The following is a 22,836-nucleotide window of genomic DNA, read 5'->3' as shown; positions in this document are numbered from 1 at the left end:
TATAACATTATTACATCAAATGCAGAGTTCAGTTAAAGTTTGGAGATCAGCATTTTGTAATAACAGCAGTTTTCAATCAGTTAAGAATATCTAAGTTGCTCTTCTGCTGAATTAAACAGGTACAGCATATGTCGGTAAGTGATATAAGGTAAGCAGTGCTACCAAAATGCCTTGTTTCTCTAAAAGTCAGATCTGAAAACATAAGGACCAAATGGACAAACAGCAGTGAGAATATTTCAGCAATTTTATCTTCATTTATAAAAGAAAGCACTTTTTACTTCCCGAGAGCCCTACCTCACAACTTCCTATGTCTAAGCTCCACCTACTGGGATCTCTGGTTTGTGACAATGCTGTAGTTGGCAGCCCTCTGTGTAGGCTTTGAAATGTATCTGCACTGCTGAACTTTAGATTTCACTGGTAATTTTCTGTCACAATTTTCATTGATAGCCTTTTTTTTTTTTACCCTTTAGGCAAATACAACAAATGTCTGAAAATCATGCTTTGGTAAAAGTATTGGAGGACTTAACTGTGTTTATCAAATTGGTAAGTGACAACTCTTGTGTGAGACTGAAGGTTTGGAAAACTTCAAAATAAAGCTCAGCTACAAGAAGAGATGATAAGGAGGCTTGTGAGTGGGGAAACAGCATAGAATACATAGGTCGCTATCACTGTTGACCCTCTAAAAAGGCTGAATACTCACTAAATTGCCTCAAAGATTGTGCTTTAACTATTAACACTGACGTCACATCAGATGAGGTTATTCGATAAAGTGCTGTCCCTCCCTGTTAAGTCTTATATATACCAAACTGAGCACCTGTAACACAACTGCAATGACATAAAACACCCATCTGTCAAGGTGATTTTCATTTTATCTTATAGTATTACAAAATGAGAGGTTTCTCTACAGATCTATCTGGAATAAACTGATAGTAATCAATGTCTGATCACTAAGAACTGTGGATACATTGTGTTTTCCTGGGAATAGTCCTGGGCTGCCTGCCTCAAAGCAGTGAACATCAATATTGCTTTTAGATCTTTCATGGTATAGGTGATCTAAAGTTAGAATAAGTAACACAATAAAAATAACTACATGGCTATATAGGAGTCTACAGCACAACTCGATACTAAAAATAACAAAAGGAATCCTTAAATGTTACCTAAGAATGTAAAATATCTGCTCTTAGTCACTTCAGTTTATAGGTTTAAAACTAAAAACATAGTTCCATGATACCTCACAATCATGGTCTGTGGATGGCTTTTAATCTCCTGGTTAAGCAGGTGCCACTAAATGAATGCAAAAAGTAACTGCTGTCAGAATTCTAATGTGATTATAAAAATTCCTTTAAGAAGCTCTGTGATCACAATGTTCGTCCAATGAAAGATCTACTTAGTTTCACTTGACCTCACAATTCTTTATTCATTTACTTAGTATCTACAGTGTGCTGAGCACTAAAGACATTGTCAAAGAAAGCTCAAACAAGCATATTTGTTCAGTCTTTTTAACCAAATTTTGGGGAGAATGGAGGGCTGGCAAGACTTTGTTGAAGACTTCAACTAAATTTTCTTTTAACTAGACCATGGCAGGTACCAAATAATCCAGATAAGAAATTTGGCTACACAGTAAAGAAGTAGATGTTTTTTAAAGTTCAAAGACAAGACAATAAAACTCATCAGAATAAATCAGACTCATCAATCACTTTAAAACTAATTTACATCATAAAAATCAATATGACTTTCGGATACCTTAAGTTTAAGGTATCAATTCAATTGATATGAACTTGTCTAATCTAAAGTTCTTTTGTTTTCCAAACAGAATCTCAGTTTCTTGAGACGTTATGCATTCACCATCTTCTGAAATAAGAATTTAAAAACTCATCCAAAGAGTATCTGTAATAACTAATACAATTAATAATATGATCATTAATGTCAACTTTATTCAAAACAAAATACTAGCATTATACATAACTGAGTAGCTAACATTTTTCAGTACTTAACTATATGCCAGCTATGTCTTTTTTAAATAAAGCAGAATTAAAATGTTACAGTAATGCTACCAGTATTTTTTCTGCTCCCCTAAGCAAATACTCAAGAGTGAGGAGAAGGCAGGAGGCATGTTCAGAGATCATTGTGTAAGTCAATCATCCTTAGAATGTCCTTGATGTGCTTCTAAAACCCTTGAATGGAAATGGGTCACCTCATGTAAGTTATAACTGACAGTGAACAGCAAAGTTTCATTGTGTGTGACAAGGTTTTAAGATAAGAATGGTATTATTATGAATTATATCAGTATCTATAAAGAAACTAAGAAAAATTAATAGAAACTCATTTTATATTTTAATAATGAGGAATGAGAAGTATTTCACAAACAAAATCTAAACAATCTGAAGCTTGCCCCTTTTAAAGATCCATTATTTGTTTCTACCTTTTTGGGGTGGACCAAAGAATCATAACGTTTTCTTAAAAGATCTGTTAAATAAAACTCAGCCTTACGTGTATCAAATAAGGTCAGTGTTTCTGAACACAAGTGACTATGGCTCTGTGCTGATCTTAAGGTCTGTATCTTCGATTGATGGCATCTTATATGAATACTTAACAGTTTTTTCCTTGACGGTACATAAAATGATGGTGTCTTACAATCACTGACATATTAGATTTGATTAAAAAATACTGCGAAAGAAGGTGTACTAGAAGATATTTTGCCCATGTATCAAATGGCCCTAGACTTCAGTATTGTCATAATTCTTCTGTCTCCTATTTCTGTTTTCAGAAGGAAGACTATGTGAGAATGAAACAGACTTTGGAGTAGGCAGAAGTACGGCAGCTTCCAATCTTAGCTGCAGAGCCCTATGACCCTGGGTATGGGGCTTCTTATACAAACCAACCATAACTTAAGGATTCTACCATCTTCCTTATAAGACTGCTATAAATTATTACAGATGATGGAAGAAAAGCATAAGGAATGTGGTAGAAATTCAATAAGCAGTGGCTATTATCTCTTTTCTGTAGTTGTAAATCTAATAGCTTCTAATGCTGCCAAGCTGATGAAGAGACTGGGGAGGAGCCTGAGATCTTGTTGCAGATGCCCCAAAAATGGTTCCACAACCACTAAGAACATACTAGCTCACAACTAGTTTCTGAGCTAGATTAGAAATGGTTAAAGTTACTGGAAAGATGACCCTATGGATAAACATGCATCATTATTAGCAAACAAATGGTACCAGTAAGTTGCAAATAAAAAACACACACACACTATTCTCATTTGTTTCTACATGGTATGCTACATGGAAGGCACATTCCCCAAGATTTAGACTATTACTACCAGATCAAGTCACTTATATAAATCTTGCTGTCCAACAGAAATAAACAAATTTTTAATCAGCCACTTTAAAATAAAATCAAAATATTTTGATAGAAAAGAACCATTAACTCAAAGTTTTGGTGTGGGTTGGGGCACACTGCGCTGTTTGCCTGTTTGTTTACCTATGTAGTATTTCATTTCAGTGTCATGTTTGTTCATGAGCTCAAGAAGTCGCACTTCTATCTGTGCTTGATTCAGAAAAGCCTTCTTGTTCTTTATTATTTTAATGGCAACCCATTCTTGCTCCACACGATCATATGCCTTTACAACCTAAAAGAGAAGATGAATAATTCTCTATTTCATTAATTGCAAAAATTTCACAATAATTTATAATTCACCTTAATTATAACATTTACCTAATTCTCAATTATATGTTTTTATAATTATTTTTCTGACCTTCCTAAGTAGAAGAGATGCCATCTATTTCTATTCAATATATATCCACTTATTACACAGTAACTTTAAATCAATCTTTTAAATTGAATTTCTTTTTGCATTTGTACAATATTTCTAAATATCCACAAAATAGATAATTTTCTTAATAAAATTAAATTAACTATTTTCCTCCTTCAGAAATAAATTATGACTCTTGACAAATGCTTAGGTTTTTTTATCTTTCTTACTAAATAACACTATAAAACAACTCATCGAACTATTCTTTTAATGAGAGATACCTGAACCCTAAGAATATGTATGAAATATTTAAAAGTTTATCAGCAGAAGGCTTCAGATAACTTTCTAACTTTCAATTAGATTTTCATACATAAAAACCTAAGTATATAAAAGAAAAATTGGTTTAGACTAAAAAAAAATCAAACACAAATTACCAGTAAAGTTCCACAATGCCACAAACGCCATAATTGGGGGATTATGATAGTTTTAAAATGAGAATTACTGCTAAGGAAAGCACAGCGTTCATGAGCACACATCACCATGCAACACCTCTCACTTGAAATCTGACTCATTTAAAACGAGGTTCATACTACTATAAAAGATTTACATAAACATTACAAAATCAATATATAAGTAAAAGAAAATGTTATCTCTTATTAACCAGTGACAACCATTACAACTAATAAAATAGAAGTTACATTTATAATATTATACATTGTCTGAATAAGTAATTCTTTTAGATACATTTTCTAGCACATTCAAAAAGCCTGGGGATGGGGAAGGAACTCCAAATGATTCCAAGGTGCAGGATGAAACCATAAGGTCAGGAAGAGGATGAAACGTATGTTCTCAGATCTTCATCAGTCAAGGCTAAATCTACTGTGACAGATTCTGAATGGCTCAACTGAAATCAAACTTGGAATAAAAAATGCACTAATCTCTGGTTTCACTCAATTCTAAAAGACACTCTCTGTGGTCTTTTATAACAGAGGCTACCCTTGTAAACATGTGGCCAAGGGGTTCTGATATGCTTCTGCTTCACTGGATGTACTGACTGCACTAAGAGTTGCAGTTCAGTGCCCAGATCCTGATGGGCTGCAGGATAAAGGACACTCATGTGGGCCCAAGTATCTACTGACTTGCCAAACAGTTAACAGGCTAACTGCCAGTTTTTGACCATGAATTACAAATTTAATAAGGTTTTTTTTTTCTTTTACATCAATGCCTAGAGAATTTAACTGGCCTGGAGCCCAGACATCAGTAATTTTTTGGGTAAGCTCCCCAAGAAATTTCAATACGCAATCAGGATTGGTAAGTATTGGCTACGGAAATGGAGAAATCCCTTATTTGACAATAACCTGACACAGAATGTGGAGAAAGTCTGACCAAGTCTATACAGAAGATACTATTCTGGTGAGGGACAGGACCTGAACCTCAACGTGGACACTGCACAACACCTCAGCCCAAGAGGGGAAGTATCAGTCTGCCCTGGGAAAAAGGAGTTCAACGTCAAGCAGGACTCTATCGTCACAGGGTTCCTGTGCTCACTTGTTCTGTGGAATCTGAGTATGAGAAAACTAAGGTGAAGGGGAGAAGAAAAACCTAACTATGAGCACAAAGACTGAGTCATCAGGGGCCAATCAGCTTACAGAGCAGCCTGTATGGCTACAATTTGCATGGTAGATGTCAGGAAAGTTAGAAAGTAAGCTATTAGGCCCTGTACAGCAGCTCATGCCTGTAATCCCAGCATGATTTGGGAGGCCAAGGCAGGCGGATCACCTGAGGTCAGGAGCTCGAGACCAGCCTGACCAACGTGGTGAAATCCCATCTCTACTAAAAATATAAAAATTAGCCAGGTGTGGTGGGGGGCACCTGCAATCCCAGCTACCCAAGAGGCTGAGGCAGGAGAATCACCTGAACCCAGAAGGCGGAGGGTGCAATGAGCCAAGATCACACCATTGCACTCCAGCCTGGGCAACAAAAGCAAAACTCCATCTCAAAAAAAAAAAAAAAAGGGACCTATTGAGTGCAACTGCCCAAACGTTAGTGAAGTTTTCATGGCGGAGGTAGCACTCTCTAGGTCTAGAGCAGCAGTCAATTTTTTCACGGCCAGGGTAGGTAGGGGTGAGGTGGATGGTTTGGGGATCAAACTGTTCTGCCTCACATCATTAGGCATTAGATTTTCATAAGGAGTACACAACCTAGATCCCTCGCATGCACAGTTCACAATTGGGTTTGAGCTCCTTTGAGAATCTAACGCTGCTGCTGATCTGACGGGGCGGAGCTCAGGCGGTAATGCTTGCTGACCACTCACCTCCTGCTGTGTAGCCCGGGTTGGGAACCAGTAGAGGGTATTCACACCCTTAGTTAAGGACTGGGCCTCACAAATGCCTTTCCTTAAGAGGCTGACAGAGAAGCTGCTTCTGACTAACAGGAAGACCTTAATCAAGAGGGACTCCCAGGCCAGGTGTGGTGGCTCAGGCCTATAATCTCAGCACTGTGGGAAGCTGAGATGCGAGGACTGGTTGAGCCCAGGAGTTCAAGACCAGCCTGGGCAACACAGTAAGACCTCACCTCTACAAAAAAACAACAAATTAGCCAGGCATGGTGGCACGTGCCTGTAGTCCCAGCTACTCTAGAGGCTGAAGTGGGAGGATCACTTGAACCCAGGAGGTTGAGGCAGTGAACCATGATCACTACTCCACTGCACTCCTGCCAGGCTGATACAGTGAGACCCTGTCTCTTAAAAAACAAAACAAAACAAAACAAAACAAAAAAAAGGACTCCCAAAGCACTGAAAACCCCCTCAGAAGAAAAAGAGGTTATAATTCAAGGAAAAAGTCCCTGGATTATGTGTAATTACCAAAATTCTTTCAAATCATGGGAAGAAGACATATACACGTGACATCAGGGACTGGTAGGGCCACACTGGAGTGACACAGGTCTAACACAAATGTTCATATTTGCTTACACGTTTATTTTTCTGGATTTAGACCTGTGGCTGCTAATGACATAGAGTGTTGCGGGAAGTCAGGGACCCCAAACGGAGGGACCAGCTGAAGCCACGGCAGAAGAACATGGATTGTGAAGATTTCATGGACATTTATTAGTTCCCCAAATTAATACTTTTATAATTTCTTACGCCTGTCTTTACTGCAATCTCTAAACATAAATTGTGAAGATTTCATGGACACTTATCACTTCCCCAATCAATACCCTTGTGATTTCCTATGCCTGTCTTTAATCTCTTAATCCCTTCATTTTCGTAAGCTGAGGAGGATGTATGTCGCCTCAGGACCCTGTGATGATTGCATTAACTGCACAAATTGTAGAGCATGTGTGTTTGAACAATATGAAATCTGGGCACCTTGAAAAAAGAACAGGATAACAGCAATGTTCAGGGAACAAGAGAGATAATCTTAAATTCTGACCACTGACCCGGGCGGAACAGAGCCATATTTCTCTTCTTTCAAAAGCAAATGGGAGAAATATCGCTGAATTCTTTTTCTCAGCAAGGAACATCCCTGAGAAAGAGAATGAGCCCCTGAGGGTAGGTCTCTGAAATGGCCCCCTTGGGTGTGGCCGTCTTCTATGGTCGAGACTGTAGGGATGAAATAAGCCCCAGTCTCCCATAGCACCCCCAGGCTTATTAGGACAAGGAAATTCCCGCCTAATAAATTTTGGTCAGACCAGTTGTCTGCTCTCAAACCCTGTCTCCTGATAAGATGTTATCAATGACAGTGGTGCCCAAAACTTCATTAGCAATTTTAATTTCGCCCTGGTCCTGTGGTCCTGCGATCTCGCCCTGCCTCCATTTGCCTTGTGATATTATATTACCTTGTGAAGTATGTGATCTCTGTGACCCACACCTTATTCGTATACTCCCTCCCCTTTTGAAAATCCCTAATAAAAACTTGCTGGTTTTGCGGCTTGTGGGGCATCAGAGAACCTACCGACATGTGATGTCTCCCCCAGATGCCCAGCTTTAAAATATTTCTCTTTTGTACTCTGTCCCTTTATTTCTCAAACCGGCCGACGCTTAGGGAAAATAGAAAAGAACCTACATGAAATATTGGGGGTGAATTTTGCCCGATATCTGGCTGAATTTCCCCCGATAATACAGAACACTTTCTGTTTTAAGCATGATGGCTTTTTCCTCACAGGTTAAAAAGGAGCATGTATTTTGTGTTCTCTCAGGGCAGGAACAGAGAAGTAAGCACATGCAGGTTCCATAGTTTAAGAAAACAAAAAAAGGCAATTTAGGAAAAGTCATTTTGATTCCCATTCTATCCTCATCATCGAAAAGTCAAAAGTTTGGACTGCAGATTAATAACCATCTCATTCCACAAGGGCTGCAAGGCAGAGGAGACTGGGATTATCAGCAAATCACACCTCAAACAAAACACAGCTCTGTGACTCAATGTGATAGAAGGACTTACAACTGGGAACAGCTGGGGGACCACAACCAGAGATCCCCCTAACATTTTTTTTTTTTAAATGAATAGAGACAAGGTCTTGCTATGTTGCCCAGGCTGTTCTGGAATTACTGGGCTCAGGTGATCCTTCTGCTTCAGATTCCCAAAGTGCTGGGATTATAGGTGTGAGTCACCACGCCTGACCCGAAAAAATATTTTTAAAAATACAAGGAGGCCAGGCATGGTGGCTCACGCCTGAAATCCCAGCACTTTGGGAGGCCAAGGTGAGCGGATTACCTGAGGTCAGGAGTTTGAGACCAGCCTGGCCAACACGGTGAAACCCTGTCTCTACTAAAAATACAAAAATTAGCCAGGTGTGGTTACAGGCACACACCTGTAATCCCAGCTACTCGGGAGACTGAGGCATGAGAATCACTTGAACCTGGGAAATGGAAGTTGCAGTGAGCCGAGAGTGCACCACTGCACTCCAGCCTGGGTGACAGGAGTGCAAGTCTGTCTCTAAATAAATAAATAAATAAAGCACAAGGAGAAAGACCCAAAACTCTTGGTATTGGTGCGACTGATACAAGAGACTAAGACTGCCTGCCTGCTTAGAGGTCTGATATAGTTACAACATGAAGTGGGAGAAAAAGCCAGGGAACAACCCCCAGCTTTCCAAAGCCTCCTGAAAAGTGAGTGGACTCCCACTGCACCACCTGAACATGGTAATTCTTTTCTCTTTGAAGTGGTCTATCGGACAAGAAGGTAAATACCTCTAGCATATGTAATTAACAATCATCTACAGACTATACAAGGCCCATAACAAAGAGGCAATACTATCTATTAAGTGATTAAAATTCACCAGTCATTAGTAAAATGAGCACTTGGTAGCCATAAAAGTTTTTAGAAGTCTAAGGAGTTTATATTACTGATGCAGTATCACTACCTTTAAAGAATTATGGTCATCCAAATACTTGCATATCCATTGCTGAGCTCTATTTGCAAATATTAAAAGTACACTCTTGAGGAAGGGCTGTTAACAACAAGATTCACTAAGAAGTTCTTTCTAACTAATGAAATTCAGCATTTTCCATTAAATTACCTGTCCAAAGGAACCTTTGCCTATCAAGGAGTCAATTTCGTAACGATCCATCCACTTTTCTCCGTTTTTTACAATATAATCATAGTTATCATCATCATAACCATCATTGTAAACCTTCCGTTCCTTCTTATGACTAGAATCGTCTCCCTGGCCCTGTTGGTGTCTTCGCTTCTTTTTTGCATAGTAAACCTGAAATGAGAATACATAGTGTTAACTGTAAAATTTAAATCACTGTGAGGAAGGGCATTATCAGAGTATATTGACACACACCTATTTTCTACAGTTGACATTTGAGTTAGAAAATAATACTGATCTAACCAATGAAAAAATTTATACAGTGAAATTCATTATAGTTATACTGTTTATAGACTTTGTAAACAAAAAATGTTAAGTGACTTGTCCAAAGTATGCCATTCAAGAAAAGTAAAAGGACCTGGTTTATATTTATTTGTTAAATTGAAGTATAATTTATATACAGTGAGGTGGCACAGATCTTAAGAGTTCAACATGAGGAATTTTGACAAAAGTTACCAAATGCCAAACAGCCAAGTAACATTTTCATGTCCCTCAAGTTCAAGTTCTCTCATGCCCCCTTCCAGTCAATCCCAACTTTATATTTGGGATATAAAGGGAATTTATTGATATAAATTCCCTCTTCTGTAACTTGCATGAATTTATTTATATTTGATTTTATGGCAACATATTTTTAAAATAAGTTCAGATGTAGACCAAGTGATGTTTTACTAAAATAAATAGGCCCTCTGAGACATGCCCAGTTTTTAAACCTATAAAAATATAACGATTAATGAAAAACAGCTATGGCCTCTTAGCCCCCACTCCCAAAGACCATACGCCTATGGTTAATCACAGGCTGAGTTATTTTCTTTAACACTGATTCTGGGCCAGGCGCGGTGGCTCACACCTGTAATCCCAGCACTTTGGGAGGCCGAGGAGGGTGGATCACGAGGTCAGGAGATCGAGACCATCCTGGCTAACACGGTGAAACCCCGTCTCTACTAAAAATACAAAAAATTAGCTGGGCATGGTGGCGGGCACCTGTAGTCCCAGCTACTCAGGAGGCTGAGGCAGGAGAAAGGTATGAACCTGGGAGGCGGAGGTTGCGGTGAGCCGAGATCGCGCCACTGCACTCCAGGCTGGCAGCCTTGGTGACAAAGTGAGACTCTGTCTCCAAAAAAAAAAAAAAAAACAAAAAACAAAAACAAAAACAAAAACAAAACACCAACACTGTTTCTAAGACTAGTAAAAAAAAAAAATACTAGATGAACTAGGAAACAGTCCAGGTAACTGGTAAACTAACTTTGGCGAAATTATAAATTACACTGCATGGAATAACATCAGAAAAAGTCTACTTTATAACGTGGTTAAGACACTTAAAAACAAGCTCCAAGAAAGCTACTGTTAACAACAGTTTAACTGTAGCTTTGTTAACAATTTATCAGATAATAACAAATTGAAATTAATATACTGTTATCAACAATTTATCAGATATATTCAGATAATCACAAGCTAGTCTGGAACATGTTTATAATATATAAATGTGTACAAAATCTAACTCAGAAATGTTCCTCACAGAGTTCATTCTAATTTTACGTTGCCACACTGCCACTGTAATGTAGTAATACTGTCATTAAATAACATTAAATTGCTATAAAATTTGCATGTACCTAAGAACATCTTTTCACTTTTCAGCTAAGCAGCTCTAAAGCTGGCAAAGGACAAGCCTTCAACATGAAAGGGTGCAGGGCTCCCACTAGAAGAGGAAAGAAAGCATGGATTCTTCTCCAGAAATGCTCCTTTAATAATTAACTTTGGAGACAGAGTTGAAGCCACAAGCAAATGGCAATGAAGCCAATGGTCCAAGACACCAGAAAAATTTTCGGTGGCAAAACACCAAGTACAGGCAAGGAATTCAAAGTGCTGTGTCTGTTTTTTATCTTATTTACTTACAACAAAAAAGCTTCTGGACATCTTATCATAAAAAGATATAGATAAAAGAACACACATAAAAAGTTAAAAGACAATAAAATCACAGAAATATAGATAGATCAAATAAACTAGGCCAAATGCCTGTAACTAGGTATTAAACATATTTCAGAGCTTCCTGACACCCATGGCAAAAGCAGAAACAAATATATAAAAATTCTAGCAAAAATTCTAACACATATATACTTTTAGAGTCCTTATTCCCCTTTCTTGTTTTGAATAAGTTATTACAGAACTCAAATGAAATAAAAAACAAAAAATAAAAATTAAAAAAAGAAATAACAGTATATTAAATACAACCTTAAAAAAATCAAGTTATCCACAATTATCTTTATACTCTGCAGTCCTTGTTAATATATCTTTTACATAATTGTAATATTATTTCTAAATCATTAGTCTTCATAATAATCATCAATATGACAACTACTAGGAATGAAAAAAAAGTTTAGGGTAAATAGGTCACACTTTTTTTCTCAATGACATACTGCAAGATAGATGTTATTATAACAAATCAAGTCTTACCTCATTAATATGCTTGTATGTTTTGATCAAGTCAACAGAAAGTTTTCTCAGGGGAGCAGTTGCTGGGTCACGGAAGGTTTGGGGCATCCGCCTCTGTAACATGACAATATCAGGCATCACCTTAAATAGACAGAAAAGACTAGCACTTTAACTATAAGATATAAATTCCCTCTTCTGTAACCTGCATGTATCTACTTTTTTAAAGACAGCTACACATTAGATGATTATACATTCTCTCTCAAAGTTCCCTTTCATGTGGATTCCAATAAAGACAACCACTAGAACAAATCAATGAAATTAGAGGATAATATGCCCAGCTGCCTGAGGCTTTGATCCTATTCCGCCAAATTTAAAGTGGTAGAAATGCAGACATACGCCAATCTAGGAGACACACAGGATGTTGCCCACGAGGGCTTCTCTACCACACAATTAGCCCAAAGAAAATTTTTTTCTGAATTATTCCTAAAACCTGACCAGGTTCACAACTAGCAGACAAAGATAAACCCAGCCCTCAGAGGCAACTTTCAGCTTCCTTAACATAGGATTTCAGGACCCAGCTGGCACCAAAAAAGGGGGCTGGCAGCAGAGCACCATTCCCTCCAACTGCTCCTAATAAGAAGAAATTCAGCTCCTAATGTCTCCAGACCCTGCTGCCCTCTGACAAATATCTGCCCCTAACCAAGGCTTGCCCTCACAGTCCCCTTCCCTGATCCCAACTCATGGCTCTCGACACCATCTGACAGGCAATGAGGGGTTCCACCGTGAGCATCCTGCTAGACCGTTTCCACAGCAATTACAACAGATGATAGAGCAGGGGCATGCACCCCCTCTATACACACACCCCAGGAGTGCTGTGGCTAGCATCAATGATCCTGGATTGCTGTCCAAGTGCCACTGCTCCAGCAAGTGCCATGCCTCAGTCAAAGGATTCCCAATGGGGGTTCTTGCAATCAACAGATCCTCAAAACCAATTATTTCCATCAAGGTGGTCACAGCCATTCCCCCTGGCCCATCTTTGTGTTCCTGCCCAACTCTTCTGGACATTTGTGCTGGGAAATGAGCCAGAAGACCCTGACACAACATCTCTCCAAGGACACTCGGGTCAATCGGAGGGGCAGAGTGACAGTAAACACATCATACTAAGACCTCGCAAAAATGTGTGGAGTCATGGTATAATTGTTAACCTAACCCACACCAAAAAAGAGAAGAGGGGAGGTTTGTACCAGTGGACAGAACAGGAAAAATCACCATCCATGTGGTCCGAAAAGACAGAATTGTTACAGCATTTTACGTGCTGTAAATCATGAACTTTACTACGTGCGCTTTATCATGAACCAACATTAACACTGGTTTCTTCTGCATGTATACTCAAACTCTAAAAAGTTGTTACCCAGAGGGCAAATTCACCCATTTACTGAAATAACACTATCTCTTCTCAAAGTCCTGTGCTTCTTAATTCCAAATAAGGTTGGGGGGGGGGGGAACCCTTGGTGATTATACTATTTGTCTGACAAAAATCATCAGAATTAAGAAGATGATCTGATTTAATTTTTCAAATAGACAGTCTTACTTTTCTAAACAGTAGCTAATGCTAAGTTCACAGAATATTTTTATACTATTCCTTAAGGACTTAATGCATAAATTAATATGGGTAATAAACGTCAGTTTTTCTGTGAATGAATGCTGTAAGCATTTAGGGTGATGAAAGGTTTCCCTTAAATGTCTTTTCTTTTTTAATTTAAGTTCCCAGCATTGTTTTCATGTAGGTAGTTTATTCAGTAAGCCCCTTTCTTGGGCTGGTGGAGTGCAGCCTAAATGTGAGGTTTCACAAAATCTGAATCAGTGCAATGCTTCATTACTGCTATAATAAAAGTTGACAGGAAGTATAAGTCATTGGTAGAGTCAACCGAATAACTTAATAATAAAGTAACAATAACAGTAGCAGGTATTTACTGAACAACATGTTTTTAGCATGCATATTTTTACAAGTCTTCCATGCAATCCCCTCAACAATCTCAAGGGAGATAAATACCATTCCTGTGACCATTTTACACACGCGAAACCAGAGTCTCCAACGTTAAAGAACTTGACCAAGGTCCCAGAGCCAGTTAAAGAACAGGAAAATCACCATCCGGGTGGTCCGAAATATTATCGTAGTGCAGCTACTATAATATTGTAGCTGAAGATGTCCATGCCTAACCCCAGGCTCTTAACGAGGACACTCTTGCCAGGAGCTCCCTATCAATGTTACGCCTCTAGTCTACCCTCTTAGCAGTCATTTTTAGGCTATTTGTTGAGCAAAGTAATTGAGGTATGCCTAAAATAAGCAAAGGCATTTATTAAAATTAGTTACATCAAAAAACTGTGAATGTCTTTAAGTTTTTAACTTGCCCATTTACAATTCCACTGGTATTTCAAACATCTGAAAAAAGAATCAGTAACTACATTCAGGAGTAATGATGCTCACTAAAAAACACCAAAATCACATATAATCAAAAAAAAATTTCAAATATACAGTACATATACAAAATAGGATATAAACATGAGTTACATGATCAAATTTCTGCACTCAATATGAGTGTGTGCTGTGTGCTTAGCACTTCACAAAATGTTGCTAATCTTTTCCACAACTGGTCATACTCTGCCTACAAGGCCAAGCTGTTTATATTTCATGCTTCAAACAACATCCTGCATTGAGATGCTCAAAATACATGGAAAGAACAAATAAATGTCTACAAAGCAAGTAATACTCCCTATGCTTTCATTGTGATTTCATATTAACCAATTTTTTCTTTTGGAACATTGTGATGCCATTAGTACATATCCAGAATTAGAAAGCAGCTTTTCCAAATACCTACTTATATATCTATACTAACACTCAAGGCCAGCCCTAAGCATCTGACACTTTCTCTACTTCCTGCTTCTGCTAGCCAAAGTCAAGAGAATGTACAGTAATAGAGCAAGCTCCCTTCTACCTTCTACAGCAAAAAGTTAAGTCCATGGTGTTCAGAGGACCCAGGAGCTCACCAAGCTGCAGAAATGACCCCTTTTGCAAGGCAAGTAACCTAATAAAAGGGAAGTTGAGGTGACCTCCTCCTGCTGCCTCAGCTATCTGCCTCCAGGAGCTAGAAACAGTACACCCTCAATGCTCACATCTCTTGCTCCTTTTACTTCACCCAGATTACAAACCTCCTGCTTAGATCAGTTATAAGAGCTAAAACAATAATTAACTTTTGTCCTGAAAAGATTCTTTAGTATAAGCTCTAGGACTCCTTTCAAAAACTGTTTTCCATTATAATACCTATTTCATTTTATTTATATTTACCTCCTGTTTTCCTATATAATGAAGAATCAGAAACACTGTATTCTGCCTTTCTTGTTATTTTGAGAGCATTAATAAAGCTGAATAGCATCTATAACACATATCCAGGGTACTAGAATTTAAGAACTATGGAAGATATTGTGAAAACTAGAATAGCCCAGAGAGCCAGCATTCCAAACATCAGTCTTCCTCTTCTACACCTACTTTCGCTCTATTTCTCTTTTAAAAGACATCTGATAGGATGATTAACAAGAAACAATGAAAATTAAATAATGAAATTACAGTAAGTTTACAGCTAAAAGGTACTTTGTATGTGTTGGGGGTTCTAGTCGGAGGTGCCAATTTGACACCCAAGGAACAGATATGAAGGGTACAAATAACCTAACTCAAATCCTACAACCAGATCATGAGCCGGCCAAGACCTTGAAGCCAGGTCCTATGACTAGACTATGCCACTTAATACGCAGCCTACACTTTAGTTACAGGAAAGGGATCCTCTAATATGACTCCCTTATTAGGCCCAGAAATTTTTGGATTTTGGCAGAAATATTTGGCTGAGTATTATTACTTTAAAGATAGTCTTTTTACATCACACAAATCTTTAAAAGTATTTCATAGCTTAAAACAGAAATAGTAAGTGAAATATCTCTTATTTTATATGATCCAAATACACATAAGACGTTAGTTGGATATAAAAATAGGTGCTTTGTTAATTAAATTATTTACTAAAATAATATAATGATAAAAATGACTTTAAAGGACTGGAAGTTTTCCTAGCCCGCTGTAGACACCAGAGGTTAGACCTGAAAGAGCACTGTATCTAAGAAGAAGGAAGCCCAGGCTGGACCCCACAGTCTCCTGCTCACACACGGAAAAGTCACAAATGGGAGCGCAGTCCTTTCAGCTGTGAAACACATTAAAAACAGCACTCTGCCTGACAGGCTGCTTTTGAACAAGTGGGAAAATTAATCTGAATCAACTTGGTTTCCTCAAAGTGCAAATGGATCATCGTGTTATTATTATTAGATTTCCAGGCAGTTTTCTTCTGGTACACAATTAAACACTTCCTAAACTTGGACATTCTGAACAACTGTCCCAATTCTCAAACACGCAACTAAACTGAAATCAATTCACTACATAAAATCTTAAGTCCTGCCAAATTCATCTTATTGTAACGATTTAACTGTGAATGTTAACATGTTGTATATTTTAAACATTATGTCAGCCTACTAGCAAAATTTTATTACAAACACGTTTTAATATAAACAAGACACCAGGAAAAGACATACTTTTAAATCTCCCAACTCTTTTATCCTCACACAATATATTAAAAGACCTAAACAAAAGAATGGCAAACCAAATTTCTAAGTCCATGGAAAAGCAGCCATTTTCAGTGCTCATCACACATCAAATATCCGTGGGGCAAGAAACTTTCACACAACTACAGCTGTTAAGTCTCCCAAACCAAAACTCAACGTAGACGGTGCAGTTAATTTAGAAAGATATTAAAAATACATACACATACATATATATGCATGTGTATGTGTGTGTGAGTACCAAGAGTTCAGCATGTATTCTATTTACACCATTCACTTCATAGAAAAATGGTGAATAGCCTGTCTGAATATTAGAATAAATAGCACGGTTAATTTGCATACATCTCTTTTGAATTTTAGGGAGTTTTGTATTTATTTTTACAAATGTGTAGAAAGGTAGTTTAAAATAACACAAAATTGGTTCTGTAAGTTTGCTGTAATGGAATCTGACTTGCTTTCCTGTAACGGTTTTAACTTAGCCACCTTTCCATAAAAATAAGCTTTTTCTTCAAGATCCTTTAATATTCTTCAGAAATAACTTTTCCCCTTTCTATTACAGAATGAGAGACTGTGGTTATGTTTATGAGTGTTTAAGTGAAATACAAGTAAAAATTAAAAAAAAAAAATTTAATGCAAACTTCTTAACATGTTTTCCCAATCCATAATCCCACGTTGCATGTAAAACTGAAAGCCATTAAAGCATTTTGCCTACTTAGTATTCCAACATTTTTAAGGAATAAACTGCCATTCCAATAGTCATTTCTGATACTCCATGAACTTACCTGGTTAGTTAGAGGTTGCTGAATCTGGTCAGAATATGATAAGGCAGAAACCTGTTGGTCACTTATGTTTGGCTGGCGACGGTCACTGTACTGATGTGAATGGGGCATCTGTCCAGCCATCTGAAGGCCAGCAGCATGGAATGAAAATGACGGTGCAAGCCGAACAGATGAAGGTTTGCATGCTGAAGTCTCTCCTCCTACAAGAAGATAAGTGAGGTTTAAAGGAAATATTCATATCCTAATGTTTGTATCATTTGACATATCTAATGGTTCCTTAAATAAGAACTTTAGGATATTCAATATTAAAAAACTTTTCTAACTACAAACAGGTATATGTTACTCAACACAACAGTTATGTTTTTAATGGTATAGAAGATCCATAGTGATTAAAATGAATATAAACTTGTATTGAGAAAATCTTCAGAAAATCTTTTTGTAAAGCAACAGCAACAACCTTTAAGACTTACTTTCACCTACGAGATTTTCATAAATTAAGAACCATAATACAAGTTAAATAAGTAATCTTTTAATTATTGAGGGACTTCTCCAACAGACCAGCTCCTCACAAACCAACTCAAAGGAACATTTCTGAGATGCTATTTTGCACCTGCTGCCAGGTTTACGGCAAACAACATCGCCAGCATTCCCCAAACCAGGTGAAACCTTATGGTGCTCTCCACTGACACAGGCAATCAAAGGTTGGATATAAAAACAGGAAAACAAACATAAAACACAGAACTAAACTTCTCAACCCAAGGTCGTTGGATTTCTCTGCACCTTTCAAACAGTCCTAAGGGAATCTAGACCTGGCAAGCTCACCACAAAGAAAAAATAACCAATAATTATCCTACGGGTAGGATGAACCATGATCATGATATCCATGGTGGAAATGAAAAATTAACACTTTGGTCCATAAAAGTAATGGTATCTAATAAAAGGTAATTCTTTAAGAAAAGGATAAAAAAAAGATTTTTCTTAAATTCAGCCAAATTTGTAATCACAGACTAAAGCCTAAAACCTTGGTCAACAAGAATGACTAGATTCAAAATACTTGTGCCTGTCCTCCTGAATGAACCAGCTAACAGCCACAACACAACCGACCATAACGCTCAGTAGCAAAATACTTCCGACTTCTACCATTTTCAAGACACACAATAATGGTGGTCCAACAGTGAAGGGCACAGACTCTCAGCCAGGTTGCTGGGGTTGGAGATCCCAGCACTACCGGTGACCAGCTGTATGGCCATGCATACCTAATATCCTGATAATGATAATAATACCTACCTGAAAAGGTTGTTATGAAGGTTTAGTGCTTTAGTACATACAACATACTCAGAACAGCTCTGGCAATTAATAAATGGCCCAATGTTATCTGCAAGTACTGTAGAGTAATGCACAGTCAATGTGCAGTAAAGGCTCATGGGGCCAGTGCCCACCTTGTGGAGCATACCATCTCTACCTGAATGTGGCACACACTCTGCAAAACAAAGAGAACAAAGCTCCCCAAACATAAGTTCCACCTCTACTTTCCACCACAGGGAATGACACCATTTCCTACGCAGTCAACGAGACTCAACACTCTGGCAGTCATGTTAGAGTTCTTCCCTTACAGCTGCCCAATCTTGCTCATTCCCTCTCCTAACAGAATACTCAAACACAACCTTTTCATCTACATCACCACATATAACACTTAAGATTACCAAAACAGATTCCTAATAGCTGTCTTTATTCTATTTTCAATTCTGGATCTACTCAATAACATGGCTAAAGTGACCTTTCTAAAATACAAATCTCAAGTCCTCTACCCCTGCTGAAGCTGGAATGTCAACTGCCCCTAGCATTGCTTTCAGACTTTAGATTCTCTTCTGTCTCTCCCCATTACAGTGAGGTCCTTAACTTTCCCAATCTACATGATTAATAATGTTTATTAAATAAGTAAAAGGATAGTACAACTGTGGTGAAAGATGGCCAACTTTTCTAAACATTTCATCATTCATAGTCAAAAATACTTTCATTCAATTCAATTCTGTAAAACAACCTTGTTCACTTTTTAAAAGAACTTCTACAAACTTACACTAAGGCAATAATCAATGATGTGCACAAAGATGCCAAGCATGTTTATCCTGGTGTTGTTTGTAAAAGCAAAACATTGAAAATCTAAATTCAAATACTGGGGGTGATGAGGGCTTTTAAATCTGAACATTAAAAAGAAAAAGGTAGGAAGGAATATAAATAAAAAGAATTGAGGTCCTTAATATATAAAAAGTTCTTATAAACAGTAAAAGACTAAGGCTGTGACTGGCAAATTTCTTAACCATTCAAAGCCTTAGATTCCCTATCTATGAAGCAGAGGTATTACTATACTGACCCTATTCCTTGTTACAAAGTTTAAATGAGATACCACCAACAGGCACACAGAATGAAACCTGTGACACACACCAAACACTTTTTATAAAAATGTTAGCTTCTGTTTTTATTATCTATGTCACTGTTATATACTATGTTTAAACTTATTCAATGCAATATTGTAGAAAAGAGGATAAAAATCATTAGCACAAAGCTTAAATTACTATCATAAAATCAATCTGTGTCACGAAACGGGGAAAAAATGGCCAGCATCCCAGAAACCCACCACACCACTCTATGACCCTTTCTAACCAACACCTCCTTCCTCTTCCTCAAAAGTTACTACTATCCTGACCTCCAAAACCCGATTTGTTTTTATTTATTTATTTTTGAGACAGAGTCTCGCTCTGTCACCCAGGCTGGAGTGCAGTGGCACAATCTCGGCTCACTGCAAGCTCCGCCTCCCAGGTTCACGCCATTCTCCTGCCTCAGCCTCCCGAGGAGCTGGGACTACAGGTGCCCACCACCACGCTGGCTAATTTTTTGTATTTTTAGTAGAGACAGGGTTTCACCATGTTAGCCAGGATGGTCTCGATCTCCTGACCTCGTGATCCACCCGCCTCAGCCTCCCAAAGTGCTGGGATTACAGGCGTGATGTTTTCATATAAGCAGGTGATACAGTTTGGATCTGTGTCCCTGCCTAATTCTCATGTCGAACTGTAATCCCCAATATTGGAGGAGGGCCCCGGTAGGAGGTTATTGGATTAGGAGGGTGGTTTCTAATGGTTTAGCACCATCCCCCCTAGTGCTATCCTCGTGATAAGAGTTCTCACGAAAAAAGGCTGTTTAAAACTGTGTGGCACCTCCCCCTTTTGCCTGACTTTGCAGGCCATGTAAGACATGCCTGCTTCTCCAACGCCTTCTGCCATGATTGAAAGTCTTCCTGAAGCCTCCCCAGAGGCTTTCATGCTTCCTGTACAGCCTGAAGAAAGAACCATGAGCCAACTAAACCTCCTTTCTTTATAAATTGCCCAGTCTCAGGTATTTATTTATAGCAGGGCAAGTACAAACTAATGTAATAGAGTAGAATTGTTTACTTCATCTTATGCCTATAAACTGCAGTTTGTCCATTACCTTGCTTTACAACAATATGGACAAATGATAATTTATCCATTCTACTACTGACCGACACCTGGATTATTTCCAGTTTGGGGCTACTATGAACACTGCCACTTGTAAGCTTCTTGTTATGCATCGTTTGGTATACACAGAGATGCTGTCCTGTTGTTTTTCTGGTCTTTTTTTGTTCCAATCAATTTATCCACTAGCAGTTTATGAAAAATTCTCACGCTCCACTCCTTCACTATGGCATGCAATCATCAGTCTAATTTCAGCCATTATGCTAAGTGTATTTGTGCTGTGGTACTCCAATGTGGTTTTTAATTTGCATTTTCCTAGTTACTCTGAGCATTTTTGCATGTCTATTGGCCACTTATACATCACATCGTGAAATGTACATTCAGGTTGCTTTTCTATTTTTTCTACTGAATTGTAAGCCCATTTCTTACAAATTTCTAGGATTTTTAAAAATCCATATTCTGAATATGATCGAGCCCCTATTGGTTACAGGCAGCTTGCCTTGTCACCCTCTTAATGGTATACTTTGATGAATAAAAGTTCTTAATTTTATCAACTTTTGCTTTACAATTAGTACTATACTTTTGGAATCTAAGAAATTTTTCCTTATATCAAAGTCATGAAAAAAATCTATTACCTTCTAAACACTGGGCTTTCTCTCTCACATCTAAATGCAAAATCCATTTGCATTTGACTTCTGTGTAAAATAGGAATCAAGTTTCATTTCCCCCTCCAAATTAACATCCAATTGATCCTTAACCAATTATTTAAAAGACAAACATTCTCCACTGCTCTGTAACCCCATCCTTATCATAAATCACATTTCCCTTTATGCTTGGATCTAGTTTTGGACTGCCTATTCTGTTCTACTGGATACAGACTTACCTACCTAGGTCTCTGTTCAAGAACTGGACACTACCTAAATTACAATAGCTTTAAAAATTTTAAGATCCAACAGGAAATTCTGTTCTTCTTCAAGAATGTTTTGGCAGGCCAGGCGCAGGGGCTCATGCCTGTAATTGCAGGGCTTTGGGAGGCCAAGGCGGGAATCACTTGAGCCCGAGAGTCTGAGACCAGCCTGGGAAACACACCACCACCTCATCTCTGTAAGAAAAAAAAAAAGCCAGGCATGGTGACGCACACCTGTAGTTCCAATTACTCAGGAGGCTCGGGTGGGAGGACTGCCTGAGCCCAAGATTTCAAGGCTGCAGTGAGTTATGATTGTGCCACTGTATGTGCTCCAGCCTGGGTAACAGAGACCTTACCTCTAAAAGAAAAAAAAAGTAAGTAAGTTTGGCTATTCCATGTAAGTTCCTGATTCACCTCATCAAATCCACCAAAACAAATCCATGTTGGGATGTTGAAATTGAAATTGCATTGATCTCTATAGAATGGTGGTGCCCAACAGAATTTTCCGCAATGATGGATTTACCTGTATCAGTAATGTAGCAAATAGCCACATGTGGCTAGTGAGCATCTGAACAATTTTATTTTTCTTTTCCAATCCTTATTCTTTCCCTTGCCTTATTCTACTTGCTGGGACCTTTAGTACAGTGATGATTTAAAAAGGAGGTAACAGACACTACTCTCACATATTCTCAATCTTGGAAATACAGCTTTCTTAGAAAGAAAGCTTTCAACATTTCTCCAGTATTATGGTTGCTGCAGGTTTTTAACAGATACTATTCCCAGATTAACAAAGTTTCCTTCTACTGCTAGTTTTCTAAGACCTTTTCCTCATGAATAGATGCTGACTTTTATTAAATGCTCTTTCTGTATCTACTGAAATGAGATGACCTTTCTGATTTACTCTGTTGATGTGGTGAATGACGCTGATTGATTTTTGAAATGATAAACGACTTTCCTTGAGCCAAGCATGGTGGTTCCCACCAGTAATCCCAGCAATCTGGAGGCCAAGGTGGGAAAATCACTTGAGCCCAGGAGTTTGAGACCAGCCTAGACAACATAGTGAGACCCCATCTCTACAAAAAAATTAAAACATTAGTAGGGTGTGGTGGCACATGCCTATGGTCCCAGTTACTCAGGAGGCTGAGGTTAGAGGATCACCTGGGCCCAGGAGGAGGAGGGTGCAGTGAGCCATGATTGCACCACTTGCACTCTAGCCCAGGGCAAGATCCT

At 38.2% G+C, this 22,836-nt stretch overlaps 1 protein-coding gene and 1 long non-coding RNA gene across 10 annotated transcripts in view, besides 1 other annotated feature; one reads left to right on the top strand and one right to left on the bottom strand.

Annotated features, from left to right (window-relative positions):
* DYRK1A (dual specificity tyrosine phosphorylation regulated kinase 1A) overlaps nt 1-22,836 on the bottom strand; it is a 160,786-nt gene that overhangs the window by 36,264 nt on the left and 101,686 nt on the right. For 4 of the 7 annotated variants that reach the window (NM_001347722.2, NM_001347721.2, NM_001347723.2 and 1 more), the window contains 4 exons: nt 17,215-17,411; nt 11,795-11,887; nt 9,269-9,457; nt 3,481-3,628 (listed from right to left, as the gene is read on the bottom strand). In NM_001347722.2, the coding sequence (NP_001334651.1) occupies nt 3,481-3,628; nt 9,269-9,457; nt 11,795-11,887; nt 17,215-17,411 (627 nt within the window). Of the gene's footprint in view, nt 1-3,480; nt 3,629-9,268; nt 9,458-11,794; nt 11,915-17,214; nt 17,412-22,836 lie in introns of all 7 variants that reach the window. The other 3 variants (NM_001396.5, NM_101395.2, NM_130438.2) reach the window with 1 other exon arrangement.
* On the top strand, nt 50-11,062 carry LOC105372797 (uncharacterized). Of its 3 annotated transcripts, none has more exons than XR_002958655.2 (3): nt 50-134; nt 471-543; nt 2,768-2,855. It is a non-coding gene; the product is annotated as an uncharacterized LOC105372797 (long non-coding RNA). The 3 variants fall into 3 exon arrangements; XR_001755034.2 differs by lacking the exon at nt 2,768-2,855 and adding an exon at nt 10,979-11,062 and having other exon boundaries at nt 84-148; XR_002958654.1 differs by having other exon boundaries at nt 84-148.
* Nucleotides 5,745-6,332: an enhancer, noted in NCBI's record as "NANOG-H3K27ac hESC enhancer chr21:38856065-38856652 (GRCh37/hg19 assembly coordinates)". NCBI's record gives its function as "activates a minimal SCP1, AML or CMV promoter by ChIP-STARR-seq in naive H9 embryonic stem cells {active_cell/tissue: H9 hESC(naive)}" and the evidence as "EXISTENCE:reporter gene assay evidence [ECO:0000049][PMID:30033119]".

Source organism: Homo sapiens, chromosome 21 (genome assembly GCF_000001405.40).
Source record: "Homo sapiens chromosome 21, GRCh38.p14 Primary Assembly".
NCBI lineage: Eukaryota > Metazoa > Chordata > Mammalia > Primates > Hominidae > Homo > Homo sapiens.
This window is presented reverse-complemented; position numbering and strand designations above follow the sequence as displayed.